This window comes from Homo sapiens, chromosome X (genome assembly GCF_000001405.40).
Source record: "Homo sapiens chromosome X, GRCh38.p14 Primary Assembly".
In the NCBI taxonomy this organism is placed as follows: domain Eukaryota; kingdom Metazoa; phylum Chordata; class Mammalia; order Primates; family Hominidae; genus Homo; species Homo sapiens.
The window spans coordinates 125004816-125024452 of record NC_000023.11 but is presented as its reverse complement, the minus strand read 5'-3'; the positions used below and the strand labels follow the sequence as shown (position 1 = coordinate 125024452).

The window sequence follows — 19637 nt, the reverse complement described above, 5'->3', positions numbered from 1 at the left end:
GTTGCTGCAAATTCACTTTTTTTATGGCTGAGTAGTGTTTCAGTAGGGGTGTGTGTGTGTGTGTGTGGTGTGTGTGTGTGTGTGTGCATATGTATGTGTGTATATATATATATCCAGTCATCCATTGATGGACACTTAGGTTGATTCCATGACTTTGCTATTGTGAATAGTGCTGTGATAAACATATGAGTACAGGTGTCTTTTTGATATAATGATATTTTTTCCTTTGGGTAGATGTGCAGTGGTGGGTTGCTTGATTGAATGGTAGTTACATGAGAAATCTCCATACTGTTTTCCATAGTGGCAGTACTAATTTATATTCCCACCCACAGTGTATAAGCATTGCCTTTTCTTCACATCTATGCCAACATCTATTGTTTTTTAACTTTTTAATAATGGCCATTCTGGCTGGTGTAAAGTGATATTTTATTGTGGTTTAAATTTACATTTCTGATGATTAATGATGTTGAGCATTTTTTTGTCTGTTTGTTGGCCACATATACATCTTCTTTTGAAAAATATCTGTTCATATCCTTTGCCCACTTTTTATTGGGGTTATTTTTTTTCTTGTTGAGTTGTTTGTGTTCCTTGTAGATACTGGATATTAGCCATTTGTTGGATGCATTGTTCGCAAATATTTTCCCCTGTCCTGTAGGATGTTAAGAATATTTTAATGGATAGTAAGAGTCTAGGTCTTAGCCTCAGGGAGGCATTGAAGACTTGTGTCTCCTCTACTAGTGACCATGACTGAGAGTAGTGGTTACATGCTTTATACTGAACCATTCCTGAGTATTCTTTCCACCATGGTCCTGTCCACAGAAGTTTTTTTTTTTTAAGATTCTTCTGTCCTTATTCATGAGTGCATAAGGAGCTCAGTAAAATTCTCTGCATGTCATCATCTGTCATCATCCAATGTTACTCTTCTGTAGCATTGTCCTTGTTCTCTCCAGAATCTTATCTACCTGGTTGACGCAGAGCCATAAGATCTTGGCTAGTGTATTAGTCCATTCTCACACTGCTATAAAGACTTGAGACTGTGTAATTTATAAAGGAAAAAGTTGTAATTGACTTACAGTTCTGCATGACTGGGGAGGCCTCACGAAACTTATAATCATCGTGGAAGGTGGAGGAGAAGCAAAGGCACGTCTCACATGGCAGCAGGCGAGAGTGAGTGTGTCAGTGCAGGAAAAACTACCATTTATAAAATCATCAGATCTCATGAGAATTCACTCACTATCACAAAAATAGCATGGGAGAAACCGCCCCCATAATCCAATCACTTCCCACCAGGTATCTCCACAACACCTGGGGATTTAAATTAAGATGAGATTTGGGTGAGAACACAAAGCCTAACCATTTCAGCTTGTCATCTAAATTTGAAGTCAGCAGGGGTCTATGCTGAAAACTTAGCCAAATGGTGTACTCCACAGCCTTATACTTGTGGTTTTCAGAACTGATGTGGCCAAAGCTTAGTGGATCACCTTGTTTCTTTAATCCTGTACTTCCGTAACCCATTATGCAGAATATGTGATTTGTAATAAATTTATATTTAAACAGATGATTACTGAACATAAGAAAAGAGAAATGAAAAAGGGTTATGAACTAAAGTTGTATTTTGAGGGGGTGCACAGAAAATATATACACAACTAATGTAGCCCTAAGTTTATCAAATATAAAATCAATTGTGCAACAGCTCATACCTCAGGGGGAAATATTGTCTTTTTTAGTAAGAACTGCCTTGTTCTAAATTAATTAGGCTCGATGATGCTTGCTTGGGCTGCTAAACACAAATTTTTCAAAGAAATCTTGTAGTCATAAGAATGCTCTTAAAGTAGTTCATTATATATCATATTTGAGGCTGGAGCTTTTAGAACACCAGACTATTAAAGTTTCTAAAACCAAGGATCAAACTCTACTTACAGTAATGATTTTGCTACTTAGCCCCCACATGATAATGCCATCTGAACCTCTGAGGAGTTAACCTTAAGCTAGATCATATATTCCATATATTTTGGCCTGAAAGTTTTTATATTGTTTTCAAACAAATTTTATCGAACCCTGGTGCTTATATTTTCTGCTTCTTCACACTTCTGCTTATTTCTTTTTCCCCATTTGTGTTGGGACACTAGCTGAGGTAAATATACAGGACTTAAATTTGTAAAGTTCAGGTTATATTTCTCTTAAAACTTTAGTTTCCTTGAAAAACCTATGTGGATCTTTCAGCTAATGAGTGTAAAGTCACTAAGCTCTAAAGCTATGTCATTCTCCTTGTGGATAAACTTATTATTTGACTAGTATAAATGAGGCACATATTAATGTTTCAATATTCAGGGGTACGCTTGATATTGAACACAAGGAGTTAGCAACATTCATTTCTAGCCAAATAGGTACTCAACAAATATTTGCTGAATGAATGGATTGTCATAAATTCTTCTAAAACTTGATAAAACTTCTTCAACTTTTTAGTACCATATTTGTCATCACCAGAGGGAAAAAGGGATAATAATTTCTGACACTTAAAAGTATTATGGGACAACTTAGGGCAGGGGTCAGTAAGCTGCATCCCTCAGCTAAATGCAGCCTGCTGCCTATTTCTGTATGGTTTGTGAGCTAACAATTGTTTTTACCTTTTTAAATTGTTAAAACAAAAAATCAAAGAAGGACAGTATTTTGTGATATGTGAAAATTATGTGAAATTCCAATTTTACTGCCCATAAAAAAGCTTTATTGCAACACAACCACATTCATTCGTTCATTTACACACTGCTTTTGAAACACAAAGACAGAGCTGTATAGTTACAACAGAGGCCATATGAACCAGAAAGCCTAAAACATTTACTCTGTGGCTCTTCACAGAAAAAAAAAATGTTTGCCAGATCCTGACTTAAAAGATTCATGACATGGTTTTCATAAAGAAACCTACTAGGGGAAAAACAGTGCTATATAAGTACAAAAGTGTTACAACTATTTCATTTCTAAATATGTTGCTATTATTTCTGAGCTATTTGCTTGTGGGCCTTATAATGGTAACAGGTGCTAATGCGCAAGAATAGGATGGTAACTCCTACCATAATTGTCCACATTCATAGAAAACTGCAGGTATAGCTGCAGCCAGATGTTTAAAGAATGGAAATTGAAATGAAAATGTAAAATCTTTACTGAAAAAAGGGTAGAAATGACACAGGAATTGCACCAATGACCTGTTAAGAAGCATAGGCAAAAAAAAAAAAAAAATTGTCTTTAATTCATGTGTGTAATCCCTGGGATGGATTTCTAATAGACAGCCTCGCAAAAAGTTCACATAATTTGACAAGACCATAAAACAGTTTCTCTTTTAAGGCAAAAAAAACCTAATTTCTTTAAAATTTTCATAGCATCAACCAGTATTAACAACTAGTCATATAGAAAATGTTGGCAATTTATTTACAATTATAAAGCTTTAGTGAGATGCTTATATACCTATGGGGTAAGTGTGTATGTAGAGTGTTAAATCAATGTTAGAAGAGGGAAACGAGTGAAATACCAAATTTTGAATAATGTAAGTAAAATCACACAATTTTAAGACTATATCCATTTTAGGGCTAAAAGCTTACAACATAGGCTGTGTTGAAACAGCACAAATGGAAGTGAAGTTTAATTAATGGAGTTCATTTAACTAATGTAGACAATAAAACCAGATATTTCACTGCCTGAATGGGATTACATTTTGGCAGTTATATAGTTAATTTGATTCATTGGGATTTGTAAATTGGATCATTCAGAGTCCAAAGTGAAATGGTGATTTAAATGCAGCCCAATGGCCTTTAGAGAAATAATCAATTCTTCAGAATTCCTCTGAAGAATTAAGTTTTATCCTAATTACTCACCTGGAAAATTAACTCGAATTTTGAAGCATTTGGCTAGGCAAAAATAATAATAATAATAAAAATAAACCTGGGCCTTCCATTTAGAAAAAAAAAACATCCAGGAAAAAAACTTTGGGAAAGTTTGAGCCCATTAACATCAGGCCTGAACCCTGGTTTCTTGATTTTAAAAAGTATCCTATAATTATATAGGTTCATGGAGTTAGCGGATCCATTCACTTGTTTATTTAGTAAATATTTATAAAATCCTACTATTGAATACATGCCAAGTACTTTTGAAGCCACTGGGAATACAGAGGTGAACAAGTTAACAAGAAAAATAGGTTCCCTGTCTTCTTGGAGCTCACATTCTTGTGGAGAAAAATAGATGATAATTGTGATTTAAAAAATAATTTCAGGTAGGAAAAAATTCTATGTGATAAACAGAGTAATTAGAGGGAGACTGAGATGAGGAGCACTACTCCTGCTAGTGTGGATGGAGAAGGCCTTCCTGAGGAGGTGGCTTTTGAGCTGAGACCTGAATGATGAGAAAGATGAATGTTGGGGAGATCTTAGAGAAGACACATTCAAATACATAACATTAACTCTAACGTGGAGGCAGAGTCCATCCTAGAGACTATTTCATTATGCTCAACATCAAAACTCAACCTATATTTTCTGACCAATACTCAGAAACATCTTTGAGGGACAATTATGCCATGGACTTATTACTATCATTATTTTTGTTATATTGTAATTAATATTATAATTATCCATTGAAGTTAAGAGATATTTTCACACATATTCCATTTTAATCTCATGGAGTGTGGGTATATTAATATCCCTACTTTGTAGAAAAGAAGACTTGGGGTTCAGGGAGATCGAGTAATTTGCTCAAGGCCGCCCAGAGAACAGTTTAGTAATTGTAGAGATAGGGCCTTGAAGCCAGACTTTTTTTCTAAATATCCAAATGGCTCATTTTATTACACTATTCTATCTTAAACCATACTGTAATTATAAGATAAGGTTCTGAATAATAATTAATATCCACAACAGACAACATATTTGTGTCTACAATAAAGTAAGACTCTTTAATATCTGCTACTTTAGGAAAAGTATTCAGAATAGAATTTTTAGTCTCAACTTTCATGATGGGTTATGATCAAAATAGAGGATGTGATTGATTTCATATAGTTTCACACATGATATTCATATTTGGTGCTTAAATATTTAATTTTGTACATTAAATTTTAAATATTTAATTAAATTTATATTTAATTTTTGCTTCCTCTTTTTAAAGCAATTCAGATTTGTAAATAACATTGCTGCTGACTTGTTTTTAGAAGAGCTGTCCTTTGAAAAGAAAATTAGTCATAATGTAAAATTGCAATTAGATGGGGGTTTGTTTGGTTTGCTTTTTGTTCTGTTTTGGTTATAAGCTTTTCCAGCACTGATGTTAAAATGCTCACCTGTGCTAGCCTGGACTTGTGGGATATTCATTGACTTTATGTCCATAGTAAAGTAGTGCAGATCATCTTATGTGCAAAACACATTTGGCTAAGGTTGACAGGATTTTCATTTTCCATTCACAGATGTAAAACATTTTCAGTATAACACAAACCTCAGCATAACAAACTCAGCAATTTATGAGAAGCACACAGCTCTGCTTACCTTTCATTTGTCAAAGATTGATGAGAAACATCTATATTACTTGTTCAATCTGTTAATTATATGTTTTCATCCAACCTGAACTGATAAGCTAAGATCTGTCCGCTCATATTAGTCTGTAGGGATATGCTTGTCAATAAGGCCTTTAAACTTCCTTACATGTGACCTATAACTCAAGTAATTCTTTATAAAGCAATATTTGAAAAGTTATCTATACTTTAAGATTACACTTACGGTACCCCTAGATGAAAAATAAGGTACAAACTTCAAAGACTGCAGTTTCATAATCTCTAAGGTCCATAATTTAATTTTAGATGACTTAATATTAACTTTGAGGAAGGAGTTAGGAAATTTAAAAATATTATGCTTGCTTTTAATTAATTTTTAGCTTTTAATTAATTTTTAAGTTACTCAAATTCTACAAATATTTTGGGGAAGTTTGCATAACTAATATAGTGAGTTTTAGAGATTTCCTCTCCAAGTAGGACCTCAAAAATGCTTCCAAAATAAACATTTTAATGTCATAAATTTTTTAATTCAACATAGTATAAAAAACATAAAAATGGAGTTGATGGCTCTTGGTCTCAGTGTGGCAATGTAACCAAAAACTAAACAAATGCTCTCAAGCCAAATCATTATGGTAAAGTTTAACATCTGAGCTCCATGAACCTATTTGTTGGATCATCAAACATATGTTGGAATGATCAAATTCATTGTCCTAGCACTGGTCATAATCTGAATATCTTCAGCACAATTCACTGCCTTGAATCATTCTGGTTTTAAGTTAAGCATAGAAAACAGATATCATTAACTTTAAATTATCTGAGTTCTTATGGTTTAAAGCAAAACTTTGAGTTTTCTCTTGACTATTTTAAAGTTAACTAATACTGAATTTGATCCTTGCTTTTTTAAATTTAATTTTTTTATTAAACTTTAACTTCTGTGATACATCTGCAGAAAGTGCAGGTTTGTTACATAGGTATACACGTGCCACAGTGGTTTGCTGCACCCATCAACCCATCCTCTACATTAGGTATTTCTCCTAATGCTATCCCTTCCCTAGCCCCCAACCCCTGATAGGCTCCGGTGTGTGATGTTCCCCTCCCTGTGTCCATGTGTTCTCATTGTTCATTTTCCACTTATGAGTAAGAACATGCAGTATTTGGTTTTCTGTTCCTGTGTTAGTTTGCTGAGAATGATGGTTTCAGCTTCATCCATGTCCCTGCAAAGACAAGAATTCATCCTTTTTATGGCTGCCTAGTATTCCATGGTGTAGATGTGCCACATTTTCTTTATCCAGTCTATCATTGATGGGCATTTGGGTTGGTTCCAAGTCTTTGCTATTGTGAACAGTGCTGCAATAAACATACATGTGCATGTGTCATTATAGTACAATGAATTATAATCCTTTGGGTATATACCCCGTAATGGGATTGCTGGGTCAAATGATGTTTCTGGTTCTAGATCCTTGAGGAATCTCCATACTGCCTTCCACAATGGTTGAACTAATTTATACTCCCACCAACAGTGTAAAAGCGTTCCTATTTCTCCATATCCTCTCCAGCATCTGTTATCTTGTAAATTTCTTTATCTTCCTTGTAGATTTTGCATATTAGCCCTTTGTCAGATGGAAAGATTACAAAAATTTTCTCCCATTCTGTAGGTTGCCTGTTCACTCTGATGATAGTTTATTTTGCTGTACGGAAGCTCTTTAGTTTAATTAGATCCCATTTGTCAGTTTTGACTTTTGTTGTCATTCCTTTTGGTGTCTTAGCCATGAAGTCTTTGCCCATGCCTATGTCCTGAATGGTATTGCCTATGTTTTCTTCTAGGGTTTTTATGGTTTTAGGTCTTACATTTAAGTCTTTAATCCATCTTGAGTTAAGTTTTGTATGAGGTGTAAGGAAGGGGCCCAGTTTCAGTTTTCTGCCTATGGCTAGCCAGTTTTCCCAACACCATTTATTAAATAGGGAATCCTTTCCCCATTGCTTGTTTTTGTCAGGTCTGTCAAAGATCAGATTGTTGTAGATGTGTGGCGTTATTTCTGAGGCCTCTGTTCTGTTCCATTGGTCTATATATTTGTTTTGGTACCAGTACCATGCTGTTTTGGTTACTGTAGCCTTGTAGTATAATTTGAGGTCGGGTAATGTGATGCCTCCAGCTTTATTCCTTTTGCTTAGGATTGTCTTGGCTATACAGGCTCTTTTTTGGTTCCATGTGAAATTTAAAGTAGTTTTTTCTAATTATGTGAAGAAAATCAGTGGTAGCTTGATGGGGATAGTATTGAATCTGTAAATTACTTTGGGCAGTATGGCCATTTTGAAGACATTAATTCTTCCTATCCATGAACATGGAATGTTTTTTCATTTGATTGTGTCCTATCTTATTTCCTTGAGCAGTGGTTTGTAGTTCTCCTTGAAGAGGTCCTTCACGTCCCTTGTAAGTTGTATTCCTAGGTATTTTATTCTCTTTGTAGCAATTGCAAATGGGAGTTCACTCATGATTTAGCTCTCTGTTTGTCTATTATTGGCATACAGGAATGCTTGTGATTTTTGCACATTGATTTTGTATCCTGAGACTTTGATGAAGTTGCTTATCAACTTAAGGAGATTTTGGGCTGAGACGATGGGGTTTTCTAAATATACCATCATGTCATCTGCAAACAGAGACAATTTGACTTCCTCTCTTCCTATTTGAATACCCTTTATTTCTTTCTCTTGCCTGGTTGCCCTGGCCAGAACTTCCAATACTAAGTTGAATAGCTTTAAAACCATGGTGATGTTGATGTTCTTCACACACATCTGCCCTTGTTTCTTTTAGGCACTAGCAACAAATGGAATTTTCAAGAGATTTTTATATACATCACAAGGTAGATAAAAAAAAATTTTTGGAGGAGCTATTTGTAAAGCTCAAATGCAGAAAAACACAAATTTTAGAACATTCAAACTAAAAAGACAGTGGACTATGAGCTCCTTGAGAGGAGTATTTCTACTCCTTAGCTCTAGGTCTAGTGTATAACAGATGCTTAGTAAACAAATGATGAGTAAGTAACCAGTATAACTTTTTAATTTTACTATTTTTGAAACCGAGGCCCAAAGGAGTTAAATAATTCTATGTGGTTGCACGAACTAATGGCAGAAGAGAAATAAGAGAATTCTGGTCTCTTGAATCTCATTCTACGCAATGCCCTTTCCTCTATAATACTATGTTTCTTCTAATTTATTTATGTTGTTTCCTCAATCCTCATTTCCAATGACTTGGGTTGAGTAGGTGAATTTTTTTTAGGCTATGTTCCAATATCAGGTTTCACTCTCACAACACAGAAAGCATAGGCACTAAACTAATGCATGTACATTATCCTTTTAAGGTTAATAACGATTCTTCCAAAAGCAGATCAGTTCTTATTTGCTGTCACTACCATAGGTTGAATCTCAGCAGTGACAACCAATACTAATGTACAACATAACCTTTTCTCATTAAAGAGGTAGTGGGAAACATAGGTGCAAGAACATTTTCTTACTAAATTATCAAGTTGAGTTACTCACTCTTGTATATATATCTGCTTCTGTGACATACTGCATGATCCTTCAAGAAGTGTCATCCTATTGATACGCTGGGAGAGGGGTTTCACAAGAGTTGCCAGATAAAATATAGGATGCCCAGTTACATTTCAACCCTAGATAAACAGTTAAATTTTTTTTAGTATAAATAGGTCACAAATGGGACTTATTTGCTAAATCTGGCAACCCTAGGTTATTTGTCATGCCTAAACACCCAAGGATGTCCCAATCTGCTGACAGCCTGCTCTTCATTGCTTGATTTTAGTAGTTGTGATTGCTTTGCTCACCAACCACTTTACTGTGTGTAGTGAATCTTCAGAGCATTATTGTGGGCCAGTTGCTAATGCTGGCAATTTACATGACCTGTTAACAGATTAGTGATGCAGGCATAAACAGAATCCCTTCCCCAGAGTCTTATGGGAGCTGGGACCAAGCCTTCCACCTTATTTGTCATCATATTCAAACACATATCTCTTTTTGATATACATAAAAGCTTATGTCCCTGAACTCCATTGAGAGTGTTATTTTCTGTAGCTTCTTTATGAAAATATATCTTTTCCATTTTACAAATATAAAATTATATTATGATAGTAAGCATGCTTTTTCAAGCTACACTTCATATAACACTACTCTAAAGATTTTGAAATCCATCTCTTGAGAATAAGGCCCCCAACTGAGAATCAGTGGTCTATGAGATACCAAAACAAATCAATGAGAAGTCAAGTACTCAATCAAGCTACTAATTTTTCAATTACTTAAATATATTTTTTTTCTAAATCAGTGTTACTCAAAGAGTGACTTTTTATGTAACAAAGGTTAAATAATAATAACATAATTATGTTAATGTTTATTTAAAATATTGGTTTTTCTATTCTGTTTTAGTGATTAAAAATTTCAGTTTGGAATCCACTGGTTTACCTAAAAGTAAAGAAATAGTTAGCTTTTAAAGAATCTATTAACTTCCAATTCCCTATCCCCTCTAAGTTGACCAGCCATTTGGACTTTTTCTGCGTAAGCAGAAGACTACTGCATTTAAAGATGACAGGCTACATACAAATCTGAAAAGCTTTTTATTGTTGTCCACAATTGTTACATTATAATATCTTGCATTTGTTTTCATATATCCATTCAACATGGGGATATAATTATATTATTCCCATCTAGCAGATGAGGAAGCTAAAACTCACAGTGAAGAGATGCCTCGTTACACTATTGAGGATTAGATTATAATCTTTATTGTAAATCTTAGCTTGTTTTTAGTTTTATTGAATTAGTTTTTATAATTACATTATTGCATATTTCTGTGCCTCAGGAGTCTATTGATATATGAACTATTAGGTTTAAAGGAGGAAGGTTTTATGAGAAGATGAATATCCAGATAATTATAGCCCTAAAAAAGAAGCTTAGATAGATGTGTTAATTCTGCTTATAGGTATTTGTTTAATTTTTATCCAAATAACGGTTTAGCATCATTCCAAGAGATATTTAACAAAAATGTTTTCTATTGTATCATCCACTTGTGGATTAAGCTTGCTGAGATGTTGTAGTAGTCCAGAGTTTACACACTTAATCTGGTTAGGCTGTTGCCTGCCAATTAACTGTAGTTTATTGACTCTTTTCAAGTTGGATAACACAGTGACTCAGAAATCTTTACCCCCTGATTTAATTAACCTGTAATAAATATTAAACTGATTTCTGAGATTATCACATTTTACTCAAATGCGAACTATCATTTGTCATATCCAGTCATATCCAGTCTTCTTAAATGAAGGAAAACACAAATTACATAGGTAATTTTTTGGCAGAAGAGTATGAAAACACCATTTTACTATTTAATTCAGCACCCAATATTAGCACTTCATGTTAACAAAAGGCAGAAATGAATAATTAGGATCTTCCATGGTTACTATAATATAAATTATACATTTTAAGGTTATTGCAGATTAAAATATTCAGTACTGATTACTATTAAAATTAAATACTAAGATATTTATCAGATTCACTTTAAAATGCATAGTCTATCTTGAAACAAAATTTCTGCAGCAATAAAATTTAGATAAAATGTCAAAAATCCTAACTTAAAGCAATCGTTTTGTAGTTAATCTTCATGTATGATTGCCCATCCCAATTTGCCTAGACATTCTGATTTTTGACAATCAGTATAGTCTTCTCTGTTTATCCTCATAAAATGTCTAACAGGGTTATGAGCTGCTTTGGAGATGAGGACAATGAAATGCAGAAAAAATAAGTAACTTCACAAAGGACCTTCATAAAGCTTCTTCCTCAGCCAACACTAGATAGAACTGTAGCTATTGAACATTTTGGAGCTCTGTTTTTCTGATGGCAAAACCATTCATAGGAAAAGTGAAACACTGCTGTTACCTAAGCATAATGCCCAACTTTTAGGCACTTTAAAAACATCTGGTTGATTATTTTCACTTGTAAATCAGATAGTTGACAACCTTGTATACTTGTGTATATATTTACAGAAAGTTAGAATGCCCTGTTACTCAACCGACTAGATACTGAATTACCTCAAGTAATACCCTTGAATTGTTTTAATATTATATACATACATTCTTGGTATTGTGCTATATCAGCGTTTTCATGTTTCCTTCCATTAGCCTTCATTTAAATTGATTTTAAGTATAACAAAAGCTAATTCACATTAAATGTAGTGCGCATTTGATTTGGAGTGAGTTTTTTTTACAAATATTATTATTATGCTATCCTATGAATATCTAAGTCATTTCCAACTGGATATAGAAATTATTAAGGTATATATTAAATGAAACACTTTAGTTATTAGAAACTATAGAACTGTCTCTGGGTATGGTGGTTTGATTAAATTATTACAATTATATAATGCTTTTATTCTAAAGTACGATGCTAAATATATTTAACTTGAATGTCTACTTCAGTACTTTAAAGTTCTAAGGAGTCAATTCGCTTCTAAGCGTGTAGTCTCATTTTAGTGTTTGAAAGTGGGTAAGAATCTGTTCTTGTTTCTTTTTTTAAGTTTTCTTATTTTACTTTACTTTAAATTCCAGGATACATGTGCAGAATGAGCAAGTGTTTTACATAGGTATACATGTGCCATGGTGGTTTGCTGTACCTATCAATCCGTCATGTAGGTTTTAAGCCCCACATGCATTAGGTATTTCTCCTAATGCTCTCCTTCCCCATGGCTCCCACCCCACGACAGGCCCTGGTGTGTGCTGTTCCTCTAGCTGTGTCCATGTGTTGTCATTGTTCAACTCCCACTTATGAGTGAGAACATGTGGTGTTTCGTTTTCTGTTCCTGTGTTAGTTTGCTGAGGATGATGGCTTCCAGTTTCATCCATGTCCCTGCAAAGGACATGATCTCATTCTTTTTATTGGCTGCATAGTATTCCATGGTGTATATGTACCACATTTTTTTCCAGTCTATCATAGGTGGGCATTTGGGTTGGTTCCATGTCTTTGCTATTGTAAATAGTGCTGCAATAAACATACGTGTGCATGTGTCTTTGTAGTAGAATAATTTATATTCTTTTGGGTATATACCCAGTAATTGGATTGCTGGGTCAAATGATATTCCTGGTTCTAGATCCCTGAGGAATCGCCACGCTGTCTTCCACGGTGGTTAAACTAATTTACATTCCAATCAACAGTGTAAAAGCATTCCTATTTCTCCACAGCCTCACGAGCATCTGTTGTTTCTTGACTTTTTAATAATTGCCATTCTGACTGGCATGAGATGTTATCTGGTTGTGGTTTTAATTTGCATTTCTCTAGTGACCAGTGATGATGAGCTTTTTTTCATATGTCTGTTGTTGGCAACATAAATGTCTTCTTTTGAGAAGTGTCTGCTCATATCCTTTGCCCACTTTTTGATGGGGTTGTTTGTTTCTTCTGGCAAATTTGTTTACAAATTTGTTGTAGATTCTGGATATTAGACCTTTGTCAGATAGGTAGATTGCAAAAATTTTCTCCCATTCTGTAGGTTTCCTGTTCACTCTGATGATAGTTTCTTTTGCTGTGCAGAAGCTCTCTAGTTTAATTAGATCCATTTGTCAATTTTGGCTTTTGTTGCACTAGCTTTTGGTGTTTTTGTCATGAAGTCTTTGCCCATGCCCATGTCCTGATTGGTATTACCTACGTTTTCTTCTAGGGTTTTTATGGTTTTGGGTTTTACATTTAACTCTTAAATCCATCTCGAGTTAATCTTTGTATAAGGGGTAAGGAAGGGGTCCAGTTTCAGTTTTCTGCATTTGGCTAGCCAGTTTTCCTAGCACCATTTATTGAATGGGGAATCCTTTCCCAATTGCTTGTTTTTGTCAGGTTTGTAGAAGATCAGATGGTTGTAGATGTGTGGTGTTATTTCTGAGGTATCTGTTCTGTTCCATTGGCCTATATGTCTGTTTGGGTACCAGTACCATGCTGTTTTGGTAACTGTAACCTTGTAGTATAATTTGAAGTTAGGTAGTGTGATACCTGCAGCTTTGTTCTTTTTGCTTAGGATTGTCTTGGCTATATGGCCTCTTTTTCGGTTCCACATGTAATTTAAAATGTTTTTTTTTTTTTTTTTAGACGGAGTCTTGCTCTGTTGCCCAGCCTGGAGTGCAGTGGCGCGATCTCGGCTCCCTGCAAGCTCCACCTCCCAGGTTCATGCCATTCTCCTGCCTCAGCCTCCTGAGTAGCTGGGACTACAGGCACCCGCCACCGCGCCCAGCTAATTTTTTGTATTTTTAGTAGAGACAGTGTTTCATCGTGTTAGCCAGGATGGTCTCGATCTCCTGACCTCATGATCCGCCCGTCTCGGCCTCCCAAAGTGCTGTGATTACAGGCTTGAGCCACTGCGCCCGGCCTGTTTTTTTTTTTTTCTAATTCTGTGAAGAATGTCAATGGTAGTTTGATGGGAATAGCACTGAATCTAAAAATTACTTTGGGCAGTATGGCCATTTTCAAGATATTGATTCTTCCTATCCCTGAGAATGGAATGTTTTTCTATTTGTTTGTGTCCTCTCTTATTTCCTTGAGCAGTAGTTTGTAGTTCTCCATGAAGAGATCCTTCATGTCCCTTGTTAGCTGTATTCCTAGGTATTATATTTTCTTTGTAGCAGTTGTGAATGGGAGTTCACTCATGATTTGGCTCTCTGCTTGTCTATTGTTGGTGTATAGGAATGCTTGTGATTTTTGCACATTGGTTTTATATTTTGAGACTTTGCTGAAGTTGCTTATCAGCTTATGGAGTTTTGAAGCTGAGATGATGGGGTTTTTAAAATATAGAATCATGTCATTTGCAAACAATTTGACTTCCTCGCTTCCTATTTGAATACCCTTCATTTCTTTCTCTTGCCTGATTGCCCTAGCCAGAACTTCCATTACTGTGTTGAATAGGACTGGTGCAAGAGGGCATCCTTGTCTTGTGCCAGTTTTTAAAGGGAATGCCTCCAGCTTTTGCCCATTCAGTATGAAATTGGCTATGGGTTTGTCATGAATGGCTCTTATTATTTTGAGATATGTTCCATCAATACCCAGTTTATTGAGAGTTTTTAACATGAAGGGATGTTGAATTTTATTGAAGGCCTTTTCTGCATCTATTGAGATAATCATGTGGTTTTTGTCATTAGTTCTGTTTATGTGATGGATTACATTGATTGATTTGTATATGTTGAACCAGCCTTGCAACCCAGGGATGAAGCTGACTTGATAGTGTTGGATAAGCTTTTTGATGTGCTGCTGGATTCAGTTTGCCAGTATTTTATTGAGGATTTTCAAATCAATGTTCATCAGGGATATTGGCCTGAAGTTTTCTTTTTTTGTTGTATCTCTGTCTGGTTTTGGTATCAGGATGATGCTGGCCTCATACAATGAGTTAGGGAGGTGTCTCTCCTTTTCAATGGTTTGGAATAGTTTCAGAAGGAATGGTACCAGCTCCTCTTTGTACCTCTGGTAGAACTTGGCCGTGAATCCATCTCCTGGGAATTTTTTGATTGACAGGCTATTAATTACTGCCTCAATTTCAGAACTTGATATTGGTCTATTCAGGGATTCAACTTCTTCCTTGTTTAGTCTTGGGAGGGTATGTGTATCCAGGAATTTATCCATTTATTCTAGCTTTTGTAGTTTATTTGTGTAGAGTTGTTTTTAGTATTCTCTAATGGTAGTTTGTATTTCTGTGGGGGCAGTGGTGAAATCCCCTTTATCATTTTTTATTGTGTCTATCTGACTCTTCTCTCTTTCCTTATTTATTAGTCTAGCTAGTGGTCTATTTTTTTTTTTCCGGAAAAAAAAAAAAAACAGCTCCTGGATTTATTGATTTTTTGAAGGGTTTTTTGTGTCTCTGTCTCCTTCAGTTCTGCACTGATCTTAGTTATTTCTTGTCTTCTACTAGCTTTTGGATCTGTTTTCTCTTGCTTCTCTAGCTCTTTTAATTGTGATGTTAGGGTGTCGACTTCAGATCTTTCTAGCTTTCTGATGTGGGCCTTTAGTGCTATAACTTTCCCTCTTAACACTGCGTTAGCTGTGTCCTAGAGATTCTGGTACATTGTCTTTTTGTTCTCATTGGTTTCAAAGAACTTCTTGATTTCTGCCTTAATTTTGTTATTTACCCAGGAGTCATTCAGGAGCCGGTTGTTCAATTTCCAGTGAGTTGTGTTGTATTAGTGAGTTTCTGGATCCTGAGTTCTAATTTGTTTGCACTGTGGTCTGAGAGACTGTTTCTTATGATTTCAGTTCTTTTGCACTTGCTGAGGAGTGTTTTACTTCCAATTACGTGGTTGGTTTTCCAATAAGTGCCATGTGGCACTGAGAAGAATGTATATTTTGTTGATTTGGGGTGAAGAATTCTGAACATGTCTATTAGGTCCACTTGATCCACAGCTAAGTTCAAGTCCTGAATATCCTTGTTAATTTTCTGTCTTGTTGATATGTCTAATATTGACAACGGAGTGTTAAAGTCCTTCACTGTTATTGTGTAGGAGTCTAAGTCTCTTTGTAGGTCTCTAAAAACTTGTTTTATTAATCTGGGTACTCCTGTATTGGGTGCATATATATTTAGGATAGTTAGCTCTTCTTCTTGAATTGATCCCTTTATGATTATATAATGCCCTTTTTTGTCTTTTTGATTTTTTTTTTCGTTTAACATTTGTTTTATTAGAGACTAGGATTGCAACCCCTGCTCTTTTTTGCTTTCCATTTGCTGGGTAAATTTTTCTCCATCCCTTTATTTTAAGCCTATATGTGTCTTTGCATGTGAGATTGGTCTCCTGAATACAGCACACCAATGGGTCTTGACTCTTTATCCTATTTGCCAGTCTGTGTCTTTTAATTGGGGAATTTAGTCCATTTAAATTTAAGGTTAATATTGTTATATATGAATTTGTTCTTGTCATCATGATGCTAGCTGGTTATTTTGCACACTAGTTGATGCAGTTTCTTCACAACATCATTGGTCTTTATATTTTGGTGTGTTTTTGCAGTGGCTGGTACTGGTTTTTCCTTTCTGTATTTAGTGCTTCCTTCAGGAGCTCTTGCAAGGCAGGCCTGGTGGTGATGAAATCCCTTAGCATTTGCTTGTCTGGAAAGTATTTTATTTCTCCTTCACTTATGAAGCTTAGTCTGGCTGGATATCAAATTCTGGATTGAAAATTCTTTAAGAATGTTGAATATTGGCCCCCACTCTCTTCTGGCTTGTAGGGTTTCTGCTGAGAGGTCTGCTGTTATTCTGATGGGCTTCCCTTTATAGGTGACCTGGCTTTTCTCTCTGGCTGCCTTTAACATTTTTTCCCCTTCATTTCAACCTTGGAAAATCTGAAGATTACGTGTCTTGGGGTTGATCTTCTCTTGGAGTATCTTAGTGGTGTTCTCTGTATTTCCTGAATTTGAATGTTGGCCTGTCTTGCTAGGTTGGGGAAGTTCTCCTGGACAATATCCTGAAGTGTGTTTTCCAACTTGGTTCCATTCTCCCAGTCTGTTTCAGATACTCCAATCAATTGTAGGTTCGGTCTTTTTACATAGTCCATGTTTCTCAGAGGTTTTTTTTTTTTCTCGTTCCTTTTTATTCTTTTTTCTCTAATGTTGTCTGCGTGCCTTATTTCAGCAAGATAGTCTTCAAACTCTGATATCCTTTCTTCCACTTGATCAGTCCGGCTATTGATACTTGTGTGTGCTTCACGAAGTTCTTGTGCTGCATTTTTCAGCTCCATCAGGTCATTTATATTCCTCTCTAAACTGGTTTTTCTAGTTAGCAGCTCTGTAACTTTTTATTAAGGTTTTTAGCTTCTTTGCATTGGGTTAGAACATTCTCCTTTAGCTCAGTGGAGTTTGTTATTACCCACCTTCTGAAGCCTACTTCTTTCGATTTATCCATCTCATTCTCTGTCCAGTTCTACACCTTTGCTGGAGGGGTGTTGCAATCATTTGGAGGAGAAGAGGCATTCTGGCTTTTGGAAATTTCAGCATTTTTACACTGGTTTTTCCTCATCTTTGTGGATGTATCTACCTTTGATCTTTGAGGCTGATGACCTTTGGATGGGTTTTTTTGTTGGGGGGAGGTTCTTTTGTGTTGACATTGTTGCTGTTTTTACTTCCTGTTTGTTAGTTTTTCTTCTAACAGTCAAGCCCCCCTTCTGCAGGTCTGCTACAATTTGCTGGGTGTCCACTCGAGACCCTGTTCGTCTGGCTATTACCAGTGGAGGCTACAGAATAGCAAAGATTGTGGTCTGCTCTTACCTTTGGAAGCTTTGTTTCAGAGGGGCACCAGCCTGATGCCAACCAGAGTTCTCCTGTATGAAGTGTCTGTTGACCCCTGTTGGGAAGTCTCTCTCAATCAGGAGGCATGGGGCCAGGGACCCACTTGAGGAGGCTGTTTGTCCCTTAGCACTGTGCTGGGAGAATCCCCCTTGTCAGGATCAGCCGCACTCTTCAGAGTCAGGCAGGAAAGATTAAGTCTGCTGAACCTGTGACTGCAGGCTTCCCTCCCCACAGGTGCTCTGTCCCAGGTAGGTGAGAGTTCTGTCTGTAAGCCCCTCACTGGAGCTGCTGGATTTCCTGCAGAGATGCCCTGCCTAATGAGGGGGAATCTAGAGAAGCAGTCTGGCCACAGCTGCTTTGCTGCACTGTGGTGAATTCCACCCAGTCCAAACCTCCCAGTCTCCTTAGCACTGTCAGGGGAAAACCACCTACTAAAGCTACAATAATGGTGGTCACCCCTCTCCCTACCAAACTCGATTGCCCCAGGCCAACTTCAGACTGCTCTGCTGGCAGTGAGAATCTCAGTCCAGTGGTTCTCAGCTTGCTAAGCTCCGTGGGAGTCAGACCCACTGAGCAAGACCGCTTGGCTCCCTGGTTTCAGCCCCCTTTCCAGGGGAGTGGGCGGTTCTCCTGTCTCACTGGAGTTCCAGGAGCTGCTGGAGTATGAGAAAACTCCTGCAGCCTAGTGCCTGCCTGAAAAGCCACCCAGTTTTGTGCTCAAAACCTGGGGCTCTAGTGGTATAGGCTCACAAGGGAATCTCTTGATCTGCAGATTGCAAAAATCCGTGGGAAAAGTGTAGTACCCTGGGTAGGTGGCACAGTCACTTAATAGCTTCCCTTGGCTGGGGGAAGGAGGCCCCCTGGCTCCGTGCACTTCCCAGGTGAAGCGACGTCCCATCCTGCTTCTGCTCGCTCTCCATGGGTCGCACCCACTGTCTAACAAGTCGCAATGAGATAAACTGGGTACCTCAGTTGGAAATGCAGAAATCACCCGCCTCTGCATTGGTCTCACTGGGAGCTGCTGGAGCTGTTTCCATTCAGCCATCTTGGCCCCTCCCCCTTAGTTTCTATCATTGGAATATTGCATTATTTTTCCTTGAAAGTTTTCTTGAACATGTAGAGCAAACAAACCCTAGACTCTACTAGTGGAACATTGATCAAAATATGTTTCATAGAGATGTTCCTTAAACAAACAAAATACACACACACACACACACACACACACACACACACACAACCAAGTCAGGTCAAAAGATTGTTTAATACACTGGGGAAATACTGCACACTTAAGGTTGTGTCTCTTGCAGAATTCCAATGCATAATAGTTTATTAGAGGCTCTGAAAAGCTCTTCAATAAAGAAAGCTGTTTATTTAATCCATGATTTCCCAAACTGATTTGGCCATAGAATTATTTGTGTGTGTGTGTGTGTGTGTGTGTGTGTGTGTGTGTGTGTATGTATACATCTTTTAGCATCCTGAAGAATTAGTATTATGTGGAGCACACTTTTGATAATGCTGGTCTAATTTCTTTCAGACTGAATTTTGAATAGAAATTTAGTTTTCTGGAAAGAGGATAAGGTCAAGAGGCAGGAGACCAAAAGGCACATATTTGCTGAGTAATTAAGTCAGTAAGTGAGTGAGTGAATTAATGAGTCATGGTTTCTGTTCTGTCACTAACTTGCTCTAGTATCCTGAGCCAGTCGTTTCAATATTTGATTATTAAACGTTCTTGTGTAAAAGCATGTAAGATTACTTGCCCTAATTACTTAGTAGATGTTGAAAAATAATAGAAATTAAAGTATTTTGAAAGCAAAAGTAATTAAAAAAG

The 19637-nt window shown here is 36.5% G+C and overlaps 1 protein-coding gene across 11 annotated transcripts in view, besides 1 other annotated feature; it reads left to right on the top strand.

The window, feature by feature from the left end:
• TENM1 (teneurin transmembrane protein 1) overlaps positions 1-19637 on the top strand; it is an 828410-nt gene that overhangs the window by 179860 nt on the left and 628913 nt on the right. The window lies entirely within an intron of this gene.
• Positions 18116-18616: an enhancer, noted in NCBI's record as "H3K27ac hESC enhancer chrX:124139686-124140186 (GRCh37/hg19 assembly coordinates)". NCBI's record gives its function as "activates a minimal SCP1, AML or CMV promoter by ChIP-STARR-seq in primed H9 embryonic stem cells {active_cell/tissue: H9 hESC(primed)}" and the evidence as "EXISTENCE:reporter gene assay evidence [ECO:0000049][PMID:30033119]".